Source organism: Homo sapiens, chromosome 4 (assembly GCF_000001405.40).
Source record: "Homo sapiens chromosome 4, GRCh38.p14 Primary Assembly".
Taxonomy (NCBI): domain Eukaryota; kingdom Metazoa; phylum Chordata; class Mammalia; order Primates; family Hominidae; genus Homo; species Homo sapiens.
Genome location: NC_000004.12, coordinates 26262036 through 26274340, shown reverse-complemented (window position 1 = coordinate 26274340; position 12305 = coordinate 26262036). Strand labels below are relative to the sequence as shown.

At 43.4% G+C, this 12305-nt stretch overlaps 1 protein-coding gene and 1 long non-coding RNA gene across 3 annotated transcripts in view; one reads left to right on the top strand and one right to left on the bottom strand.

Annotated features, from left to right (window-relative positions):
- Nucleotides 1–12305, bottom strand: part of RBPJ (recombination signal binding protein for immunoglobulin kappa J region) — a 329683-nt gene that overhangs the window by 160791 nt on the left and 156587 nt on the right. The window lies entirely within an intron of this gene.
- Nucleotides 1–12305, top strand: part of LOC124900690 (uncharacterized) — a 77297-nt gene that overhangs the window by 1085 nt on the left and 63907 nt on the right. The gene's annotated exons all lie outside the window — the stretch shown is intronic.

Here is a 12305-nt window from a genome sequence, read left to right as displayed (position 1 = left end):
CATTTTTCTTAATCAAAAATCATACCTTCTCTTATCTTCCTTAGGGTTTCAGAAAGTCTCAAATCCATTCATTATTTAACAAATACTTATCGAGCGCCTACTATGTATGTGGCACTGTTGTGGGTGCTCGGGATGCAGGGTGTGGGTGTGAGCATGGGGCAGATGGCAGAAGATAGGCAGAAAATCAAATGAAGCAGTAAAATATAACACATGTACAAAGTATTTTAGGAGGTGAGAAGTGTTATGGAGAACAATAAAGCAGAGAAGTAGAAAAGCATATATCTGGGGTTGAGGCCACACCTGTGGTTGGGAAAGACTTCTCTGACAAGGTGACATCTGAGCAAAGACCCATAGGCAGCAGGGGAATGGAAGAAGAACAAACTTTTTTTCCTCTACACCAGAGAAGACACAGACACCTCCAGGAGAAGTAAAGCCGGGCCTAATCGGATTCCCAGGAAGATGCAAATGGCGATGACTGTGTCTTGGCTGCGTTCAGCTTCAAAGAAGAAGAGGGAAGAACCGTTGGCATACCAAGCACTGGAAGGGTGGCGGCAAGGGGCACCGGGAATGGCTGTGGTTACCAGTGATGCAAACAGACCTCCCACTTCCCCACTTCTTCCTGAAAGTGGAGGAGGGGAGGGAGGCAGTTGAGTGAAAAGAGCTCCCAGGCCCCGCTGCTAGGTTCTTCTGCAGAAAGATTAGTACCCCTAGGTGCAAGTGGGATACAGAGTGGTTCTTCCCTGAGCCATTGGAATCTGTGCCCTCCTCTTAGATTCCAGAATGGCCTCGGACATAGATACTGCTCTCTGCTGCCAGTTTCCTTCCAGGCAGCTAGAGCTGGAAAGATCTTCATCCTAGCTGCCTGCCAAGGCCGGGAGGCCCGCTCCACGCTCCCTCGGAGGCATCTCGCCCTCTGGGAGGTCGCCAGGCAGACAGCTTTGGAAAACTGGGAGCTTGGAAAAAAGTCATTTGAATTTTATAAAGTGGTAACTACTGTGGGGCTTTATGTAATAAAACCTAAATGCCATTTTCCTCCTAAAGCTCTCGGGTGAGGTAACAGTTCTCTTTAATGTCAGCTCAGGAAGTTTTACCCAAGAAAAAGGAGGTGGAGGGGTGGTGTTTGCCAAATCAGGAAATGTGCCTTAACTGACTAGGAACTTAAAAAAGAGGCTGAGGCAATGAGAGGAAGGGAAGTGGGAGACAGCAAAAGGTAGTCCTGCAAATGAGTAAACTTGGGACACACAGGCCAATTTTTATTTCAAGTCAATTTTGTTGGTTGAAACTTCCTTTTTATGGTCTGTTGTTTTGAAAAACTTGGAGTGAAAGAAAATCTCAAACTTAATACAGTCTTCATGAAAAAAAAGCACCTAAGGTATTAACAGGGATTCCAGCGTCTGTAATGTAAACATTCACCTTAGGCATGGAAACTCTTGCTTGAGAGTTGCAGAGTTCCCTGTTTCACACCACAAATCTAACCACAGCTTTCTGCGCAATGTATGGTTTTAAACAATGAGTACATTATGCAGATCCAATAGGACTTTCCTCCATCCCATCACCCCCTTCCTGGTGTTAGACCTACCTCATGGTTTCAAATATGGTTGGTGCACCCCAAGGACAGAGAAAAGTAAGCCCTATTTTTAAGCAGGTGTTCAAGAACCAGGAAGAATGAATCACTTTGGAAAAAATGAAGACAAAATGCAAGTTCATCTGCAACCAAATCTGTAGTTTTGTTTTTTATTTATTTTTTATTTATTTTATTTATTGTAGAGATAGACAGGGTCTTGCTCTGTCACCCAGGCTGGAGTGAAGTGGCATGATCACAGCTCATTGCAGCCTTGAACTTCTGGTCTCAAGTGATCCTCCCACTTCAGCCTCCCAAGTAGCTGGGACTACAGGCATGTGTCACCACACCTGACTAATTAAAAAAAAATTTTTTTTGTACAGATGGAGTCTCACTACATTGCCCAGGCTGGTCTCCAACTCCCAGCCTAAAGTGATCCTCTTGCCTTGATCTCCCAAATGTTGGGCTTATGGGTGTGAGCCACAATGCCCGGCCTGTAGTGAGTTTTAGAAAATAAAAATGACGTCTTCATTTTTTCTTTCTTGCAAATATCTCAGTTTTATCTAGAAGATCTTTTTCTTTCCTGCATATATCTAGGTTTTATCTAGACCTTTGACTTCTGTCAAAGGTGTGAAATTTAAACCTTTGGAATTTTATCCAAAGCATTTTTGCCCTAAAAGCTTTTTTCCCTATTGATTCTTATACCTAATATTCCCAACCCAGTCCTGGTTAAGGCTGCCCTAGTCAGGAGACATTTTTAAGAGACAAAGCAAGTGACCCAAGGCACTGGCCCTACAGAAATCTGGAAGCTGGTACAAGCATGTATGCACCCATGTGCCTATATACCTGTGCCCACTGTGCACATGTTCAAGCACGCACGTGTCTCTGTATGTGGTTGCTCACACGTGTGCATGCACGTGTGTGTGTGGCAGTGACACTGTGCAGAATGAATGAAAGGACATCATAGTTTGTATGTTGAAGACTCATGGGTCTTTCAAAGTTGATAAATCTGGCTTTCACATAGAAGGCGAGGTCTTAGATGAAGATAAAGGAATTCAGGAAATATCATCCCCAAAATGACACTTTGGTATGCTGATTACTTTGAACTGAGGACACCTGGGACATAGCATATGCAGGCAGAGGCTTTCTCAGAACTCCCTATCTGCCTACTGATGGATCCTCTAAAAAGAACTCAGTTGTCATGAATCCCCTCCTGGGGAATTTCATCAAGCAGAGAAGATTAACTGGGATCACAGGAGAGGAGACTGGAGTTCGACACCATAGCCAGACAGACTTTGCCACAGGCTGTCACCTATTCTTCTGAGGTCCTGTTCATCTTTCCCCCAAATCAATCTCTCCTGAGTTACCTACATCTCCCCTCCCCTCTCCTTTATGAAGAGGGAATATAAGACTCTAGATCCACCAGGTTTTGAGGTACAGTAGTCCCCTCCTTATCTATGGGTGATAAGTCTCAAGCCCTCCAGTGGATGCCTGAAATCAAAGATGGCACCAAACCTTATAGTCTGATGTTTCCTATACATGCATACCTATGATAAAGTTTAATTTATAAATTAGGCTGGGCAAGGTGGCATGCATCTGTAGTTCCAGCTACTTGGGAGGCTGGGCCAGGAGGAGAGCTTGAGCCTGGGAGTTTGAGACCAGCCTGGGAAACATAGTGAGACCCCATCTCTAAAGCAAATTTAAAAAATAAATTAGGCACAGAAAGAGATTTAACAATAATTAATAACAAAATAGAATAATTAGAATAATATACTGTATAAAAGTTGTATGAATATGGTTTTTTTCTCCTCAAAATGTCTTATTGTACTGTACTCACCTATTTTCGAACCATGGTTGACCGTGGGTGACTGAGACAGAGGAAAGCAAAACTGTGGATAAGGGTGGGGGGGAGGCGGATTTTATTCATGTTTCTTTCATGTGACACCCCTGTGCATGTAATAAATTTGTATATCTTGTCTCTTGTCAAGCTGTCTACTGTCAGTTTACATCATAGACTCAATTATCAAACCTTCAGAGGGTAGAGGGAAAGTTCTCCCTCCCCTTCCAAAAAACCCTCCATGCTAACTGGACCTGGGTAGATCAAGGGGGATGAAGTACACCTAGGAAGGACTACATGGATGGTTTTCAAGCTCTAGTGCCTGCGATACTTAATAAAAACTTTTGGAGGTTCCCAACCCCAAAGATTCTGAGTCAGTTGTCCAGGGTGGAGACAGGAGTTGGCATTGTAACCAGTGTACTACCGATTTCTCCTTCCTTCCTTCCTTCCTTCCTCCCTCCTTTCATCTTTCTTTCCTTTTCTTTTCTTTCTTTCTTTCTTTCTTCTTTCTTTCTTTCTTTCTTTCTTTCTTTCTTTCTTTCTTTCTTTCTTTCTTTCTTTCTTTCTTTCTTTCTTTCTTTCTTTCTCTTGCTCTCTCCCTCCCTCCCCTCCCCTCTCCTCCCCTCCCCTCCTCCCCTCCCCTTCCCTTCCCTTTCCTTTCCGACAAAATCTTGCTCTGTTGCCCAGGCTGGAGAGCAGTGGTACGATTTCTTGGCTCACTGCAACCTCTGCCTCCCTGGTCAAGCGATTCTCTTGCCTCAGCCTCCCAAGTAGCTGGAATTACAGGTGACTGCCACCACACCTGGGTAAGCTTTGTATTGTTAGTAGAGGTGAGGTTTTGCCATGTTGCCCGGACTGGTCTTGAACTCCTTACCTCAGGTGATCCGCCTGCCTCAGCCTCCCAAAGTGCTGAGATTACAGGTCTGAGCCGCCGTGCCTGGCCCCATACCAGCAATTTCCCATGGCGAGGAACACCAGTTTACCCTATAAGCCAGATTCTTCCACAATGTTTCATTAACTCTTTCCTAAGTGTGTTGCTTTTTACTGAGGCCTGGGTCCTTTCTAAAAATAAATGCTAGTTTGGCCTCAAAGTAATTTGGGTTGCCAGTTTTGACTCTTTTCTCTGTCATTCTACCCCTCTCCCTCCCCCTTCACTCCCTTCCCTCAAATTATTCTGCCCATACCCGCTCACCGCTTCCTCCTTTTCCTTAGTTTTAGTTCAAGAAGCCATTTAATGAGCTTCCACTAAAGCTTAAAGGGCTGAGGCTGTAAGAATGAATTGAGACAGAGTCCCTGTCTTTGAGCAGGTGAAGTCCGGTGGGGGAGGCAGGTAGATAAAACAGATCATTTCAGCAGGGAGAGCCACACATTAAAATAACCAAGGTGACGCCTGGCGAGGTGGCTCACACCTTTAATCCCAGCACTTTGGGAGGCCGAGGCTGGCCGATCATTTGAGGTCAGGAGATCGAGACCAGCCTGGCCAACATGGTGAAACCCTGTCTCTACTAAAAATACAAAAATTAGTTGGGCATGGTGGTGCATGCCTGTAATATCAGCTACTCGGGAGGCTGAGGCAGGAGAATCACTTGAACCCAGGAGGCAGAGGTTGCAGTGAGCCTAGATCCCGCCACTGTATTCTAGCCTGGACGATGGAGCGAGACCCTGTGTCAAAAAAATAAATAAATAAATAAATAAATAAATAATAAAAAATAAATTAAATAAATAAATAAATAAAATAAAATAATAGCCAAGGAGAGGGCCTGGGCAGCAGCTGCCTGAATGAGTGATGGGCTCAGAGGGAAGGGAATTGGAGAAAGTGCTTTCAACAGCACTGTTTTCCAGCTAGCTGAAGTGGGGCTCAGTGACCAATCTCAGTTCCAATCCCCACCAAACTAAAGCACATGCATTTGCCAGTTGCCAGTGTATCAGGAGAACAGCCAAAGAAGCCGAATATTAGAGAAAAAGAGCAAAATTAATTCAAAGTGTTCATTATGAAATCATAGAGTATTCCAAATATCCAGGGAGTAAACATACATTTATCAAGTTAACATATGAAATTTGTTCTAACAGATTTTCTAAATTTAGATTTTTGTTTTGCCTAATTTCATAGAAAGGGCATCACTCAGTGAATGATGAAGTGGACTTGGGGGATGAATATTCACCTGAACCCCTTCCTCCCGCCTCTGCTGCAGCTGCCCCTCCCCCCTCAGCCAGGCTTGACCTTAGACAAGGCAGTTTCTATTTTTTAGTTTCCAAGTTGTGAGAGAGGAAAAAAAAAAAGGTTTGCTTCCAGCTGTTTGACAATGATGCTGAGAAGATTTATGCACACATTCTGGTGAAATCACCTGAGTTGGCTGAAGGAGCAAATAATGCGTGTGCTTTTATTGAAGAGAAAAGGGAAGCAGAAGATGCACATTTCATTTCACTGTACTCCTGGCTGGCTAATTAGAAAGCAGGTTCATTAAGGGTTGGGCCTGAAGAAAAAGCCCAAAGCCTGAAAAGAGACCAAAGAGAATGACATCATTTCCCCTGTATCTTCCCTAAGGGCATCCTGGTATTGGAGAGAAGGACTCAGGCCCCAGAAATGAAGCAAAAACAGCCCAATTTCCAATACTGATTACTTTGGACCAGAACCGTACACAGAAAAAGAGGACACTTGGTTTTTGTTGTTTGTTTTTTGTTTTTTTTGAAAAAAAATAAAGGAATGAGGCAAACAAAGAACATGGTTTTCTGACTTGGTTGAATATAAAGCAAAGAGGGAAGTTTAAGCTAAATCGTAACATGGGGTGTCCTTTTTCTTCTTCCCTTCATATAGAAATCAAAACAACTTACAGATCCTACACGACTAATTGTTAGGAAATTTAGATTTGCTAAAATTTTTGAAATAGAAGTATTGGTTTAAAAGCTTATACCTTAAAAAAAATCATTTTTATTTTTATAGTAATACTAGATGTAATTGGGCAGATAAATTAAGTTGGAATATCTTTTTTTTTATGACTTCGGCACATAGCTGTTACTCTTATATTGAAATTGTGGGTCGGGTGCCGTGGCTCACGCCTGTAATCCCAACACTTTGGGAGGCTGAGGTGGGCGGATCACCTGAGGTCAGGAGTTCAAGACTAGCCTGGCTAACATGGTGAAACCCCATCTCTACTACAAATACAAAAATTAGCCAGGTGTGGTGGTGCGTGCCTGTAGTCCCAGCTACTCAAGAGGTTGGGGCAGGAGAATTGCTTGAACCTGGGAGGTGGAGGGTGCAGTGAGCCGAGATCGTGCCACTGTACTCCAGCCTGGGTGACAGAGACTCCATCTCAAAAAATAAATAAATAAATAAATTTAAAAATTACATATATATGTATATATGTGTATTTATACACATATATACACACAAATTGTGAAGTTTCCTGCCAGGTGAATACCTCGTTAAATTCATTTCTTTGCCTCCAGCAATAAGATACACTTAAAAATCTATTGTTTTTGCTCTGGTGATGAGAGAATCCTGACTGTTATATGTGACTACAAGTTGCTTTTCTCTTTCAGTTAGTCAAATATACTCAGAGGAACCCAGGAATGATCCTTGGGCAGCATCCATGGCAAATTCCTAAATTGGGAGTCTGTTATTCTGGCTGCTGAATTGCATTTACTCTGGGAGGCTGGACTGTAGTCAAGCCTTGTCCCATCTCCAAGCCCCACCCCCTCCAGACTCTAAGACTCTGGAGCACACACAAGGAAATATGACTTGGAGAAAATCAAGTCCTCTCATATTTTACAGCTTGAATTTTGAAATCCATCAAACTCAACTGAGCCCCAGGAAGAAGAGGCGAAGTCAATACTGGGCTTCTGTGTAACCCCATCTTCTTCTTTACCTTGAAATAAAGAGGAGACAACTTATCAATCATCTGCATCTCTAGAAAGTGCAAGCTTTTAGGCTATCTGTGTTTTGGAAGTTAATGTTATAGAAGAGAAGAAAAGAACCTCTATAGAGCTTTTGCAATAAGGTGACAAGAGACTCAGATTATGGAAGTAAATTTGGAAAGCCTTTTTCATAACTAACACTAATAACTTTTAACACAATTTTGCCTGGGAATTGTGGTGTTTCTAGCACTGAGGTTTTCTTAGCAGATGCCACCAGTAATATCTGCTCTTGAACCCAGCTCTCTCCTAAATGTCATTTATCTATCCATCCATCCACCTAATGGGGCTCAGGACATGCTACCCCCAAATATGGCGCCTTAACATTTGAGAAAACAGCAGGAAGATCACTCACCCTCACCCCTACTCCCCACCTTTCTTTTCTAAAGCACGTCATAAAAACCAAGGAGGAATTTTTCTTTCTCCTGAAGCAGGTCATAACACCCCCATGTAAGAAGTGCCCTCCCTATACCCAGTGGAAAGAACATCCTTATCTTATAAGACAAAAGGCCACAGAGAAGAATCTGAACAAATAGGCCTTGCTAAGTTTCCCCTAGTTTATTACCATTGGATTATACCCTTTGTGCAATCCTATTTCTCCATAACAGTCTACTTATTCATCAAACCTAGCATGTATTAATAAATACACAAGTTTAACCATTTCTTCAGGTCTTCATTTCCTTATGAAGATGCCCGTGTCATGTAAAATATAAATTAAGTAAGCCTGTGTGCTTTTTTCTTATTAATCTGTCCTTTGGATGAGTGAGGAAAATATTTTTTTTCTCCCCTACACATCCAACAAGCCTCTTTTCCAGGATGTAGACTATGTGCTAACCAGTGTTTAGAGCACTGCAGGGAATAGGATGTGGCAGGACAGTCTGCCAGGGAAAAAGAACCTGATACTGTTGGGGCACAGAGAAAGATACCCCAAAGTATGGAATTTAAGGGAAATTGGAAGGCTTTAGAAACTGCCTTGGAACCAAGATCCTTTTTTTTTTTGAGATACAGTCTTGCTCTGTTGCTCAGAGCTGGAGTGAAGTAGTGCGATCGTGAAGCAACCTCTGCCTCCCAGTTTTAGGCAGTTCTCTGCCTCAGCCTCCTGAGTAGCTGGGACTACAGGCATGTGCCACCAGGCCCGGCTAATTTTTGTATTTTTAGTAGAGAAGGGGTTTCACCATGTTGGCCAGGCTGGTCTTGAACTCCTGACCTCGTGATCCACCCACCTCAGCCTCCCAAAGTGCTGGGATTATAAGCGTGAGCCACCGTGCCTGGCCAGAACTTTTTAACTTTCTTTCTTTTGTTTCCTTCCCATCCAGTACAGAGAAGGGCTCTCTCTAGCAGTTCCCTTATCTGATTGAGGAAAACTTCCAAAAGAAATTGAATTGTGTTAAGACTCTCTCCTTAGGAATCTCATCAAATAATCGGGAATGATTAACTACCAGAGATGAAAGGAAATAGAAGTCATCACCATGCCCACATAGACTTTTCATCTATTCTTTTTTTTTTTTCTTTTTTTGAGACTGTCTCACTCTATGGCCCAGGCTGGAGTGCAGTAGCCACTGAAATCTCTTCCTCCTGGGTTCAGGCAATTCTCATGCCTCAGCCTCCCGAGTAGCTGGGATTACAGATGCCCACTACCACGCCTGGCTAATTTTTGTATTTTTAGTAAAGACAGGGTTTCATCATGTTGGTCAGGCTGGTCTCGATCTCCTGACCTCAAATGATCGGCCGGCCTCAGCCTCCCAAAGTGCTGGGATTGTAGGCATGAGCCACCAAGCCCAGCCTCATCCGCTCTTTAGAGGGCAGCTCGGAAAAATTATCTAAGAGACTTTATATGCATGGTAAGACAACCTTTGTTCACAGTGTAGTTCCACCCCTCACCTTCTAGTAACTTTTCCCATTCAGTTTCCAAAGAAAATTATTGACAAACTATTGTCTGCTCTTTGGGCTCATTCAATTCACCTGAAAATAATTTATTACCCCTCAAAATTGCCTATACCCCTATTTTTCTCTTCCCTATGAATAGGGTATAAATACTTCAACCATCTGTCCTTTCTTTGAGTCTCATATTTGCAGGACTCCTGTGTGATGTGCACATTAATAAATGTGTATGCCTTTTCTCCTATTAATCTGTCTATTGTCAGTTTGTTTAGGAGACTTGAACCTTCAAAAGGAGAAGGAAATTTTCTTTGCCTCTACAATAACTTAAGGCAAACCATAAAATGCCTGCTACGGTAGGCAGAGGGTTATGGGAGCACAGTGCAGGGGCACCAACGTCATCTTGAGGGGCCAAGAAAGTGACAACTAAGCTGAGACTCAAAGCAATGAGCAGTTAGCCAGGTCAAGGGCATGGTGCTTTTGGGACGAGTGCCAGTGTTTCAGTGTGGCTAGATGGGGAAGAGAGGAAGACAGCAAGTGTGTGTGAGTGTATGTGCCTATATGGTGAGAAGTAAGGCTGGAAAGATGAACAGGAGGGAATTACATGGCAAGATAAGAAATTGTGAGGGCAACAAAGGACCATTGAAGAATTTGAAAGAAACTCCATTTTAAAGAAAATGGAAGGATCAAATGGACAGTTTACGAAGATCACTATGGCTACAATATGTAGGAGGCAAAGAAGAGAGATAGGGAGGTTAGTCAGAAGGCTGTCATAGTGCTCCAGACTACATATGCTGAATTAAAAAGTATTCATTGATTAATGAATTAATAAGTATTAATAATAATTAATTACTAAGATCTGAATTAATAAGTATTCATTGATTTGAATTAATAAGTATTCATTGATTAATTCAACACATAATTTGTTGAAGCTAATTGGGACCAGGTTGTGAACACAAATGAATCTGTCTGCCAGGCGCCGTGGCTCACGCCTGTAATCCCAGCACTTTGGGAGGTTGAGTTGGGTGGATCACCTGAGTCGAGAGTTCAAGACCAGCCTGCAGCCTGGCCAACATAGTGAAACCCCGTCTCTACTAAAAAAACACAAAGATTAGCAGGACGTGGTGGCACACGTCTGTAGTCCCAGCTACTCAGGAGGCTGAGACAGGAGAATCGCTTAAACCTGGGAGGCAGAGGTTGCAGTGAGCCGAGATCGCACGGCTGCACTCCAACCTGGGGGACAGAGCGAGACTCTATCTCAAAACAAAAACAAAAAAAAAAAAGACTGGGTGCTGTGGCTCACGCCTGTAATCCCAGCACTTTGGGAGACTGAGGTGGGCAGATCACGAGGTCAGGAGTTCGAGACCAGCCCGGCCAATATGGTGAAACCCCGTCTTTACTAAAACTACAAAAATTAGCTGGGCGTGGTGGCACGCACCTGTAGTCCCAGGTACTCAGGAGGCTGAGGCAGGAGAATTGCTCTAATCCGGGAAGTGGAGGTTGCAGTGAGCAGAGATCGGGCCGTTGCATTCCAGCCTGTGTGACAGAGCGAGACTCCTTCTCAAAAACAACAACCAAAAAACATGCACATGTCCTCATAGAGCTTAAAATTTGGTGGAGGAAACAATCATGTAATTGCACAAATAACTGGAAAATAACAATTGTAGCAAGGTGCTGTTGTGGCAGAGACTGCTTTCCCCCAAAATCTGTTGTTTGCTTCTTTGCCCAGGTAGATAGCTGCACTACATTTCCCAGACTCCTTTGCAGTGGGAGACGGTCATGTGACTAAGGCCTAGCCAATGTTCTCTAAGTGGAAGTGATGCACGGGGTGGGGCGGGGGGGCTGGGTGGTTAGAGTAATAAACTGGGAGGAGCCTGGTTGTCTAAGTGTGTGGATGAAAGTGGCTCTGACAACCTGGACGGTAGCTCAGGAGTGTCATGTGAACAGACAATAACACCAAATAGATGAGCAGTTTTATATTCGGGTTTATTTGTTACATCAGCTTAGCTCGCTAAAACTAAGATGTGTTGTAAAAGAGAGCCATAGGGTACAATCAAAGTGCGAACCTAGGGAACTTGACATAATCTGGGGCAGGAAAACTGGGAAGGTTTCATTGTGGAATTCTGGGGTGGTGGTTAACTGGGATCGATAGAAATAGACAGTTCAAGAAATATTCAATAGGTAGACTCTGTGGAGCCAGATGACATGTAGCTGAAACATAAATGAATGGTAACATTCAGGATTCTGCTCTGGGAAGCCTGATGGATTGATTATAGGGCTGGAAGAAGAGCATACTGGAAGACAAGCAAGTTTGGGGAAAAAAATAAGAGCAATTTTGGATGTGTGAGGTTTATGGTGTCTGAGGACCATAAAAGGGATGTCCCAACTGTTGGAATTATGGTTGAAAAGCTCAATAGAGGGGAATTAGGTGGCAGATAGAGTCTTGGGAGTCATTAGCCTCTGAACAATAGTTGAAACAAGGGAAATAGAGCAAATACTCCAAGGAGATTGTGAAATGTCAAAAAAGCAGACATTCAGGGATGGACTCTCCAGGAATCCCAACACAAAGGAAGAATCTAGGAAGAAGAATCTTCAAAGAAGATGTGGGAGTAGTAGTCAGGGTGGTAAGAAGAAAACTGGACAGGAAAGTTATCCTCGAAGCCAAGGGAAAGACATCACACCTCTATTTTGAATTTTTGATTTAAATAACAGAATTAATTTTGCTCTGATAATCTTGCATAATAGGAGAGATTCTGGCGTTTAAAAACTTAGGATAAAAGCCGGGTGTGACGGTGTGTGCCTGAAGCCTGAGCTACTCAGGAGGCTGAGGTGGGAGGATTGCTTGAGCCTAGGGGTTCTAGTCCAGCCTGGGCAATATAGTGAGACTTCATTTCTTAAAACAATTTTAGGCTGTACATGGTGGCTCATGCCTGTAATCCCAGCATTTTGGGAGGCCAAGGTGGGTGGATCATTTGAGTCCAGGGGTTCAAGACCAGCCTGGGCAACATGGCAAAACCCCATCTCCATAAAAAATAAAAAATTAGTGGGGTGTGGTGGTGTGCACCTGTAGCCCCACCTACTTAGGAGGCTGAGGTGGGAGGACCGCTTGAGCCCAGG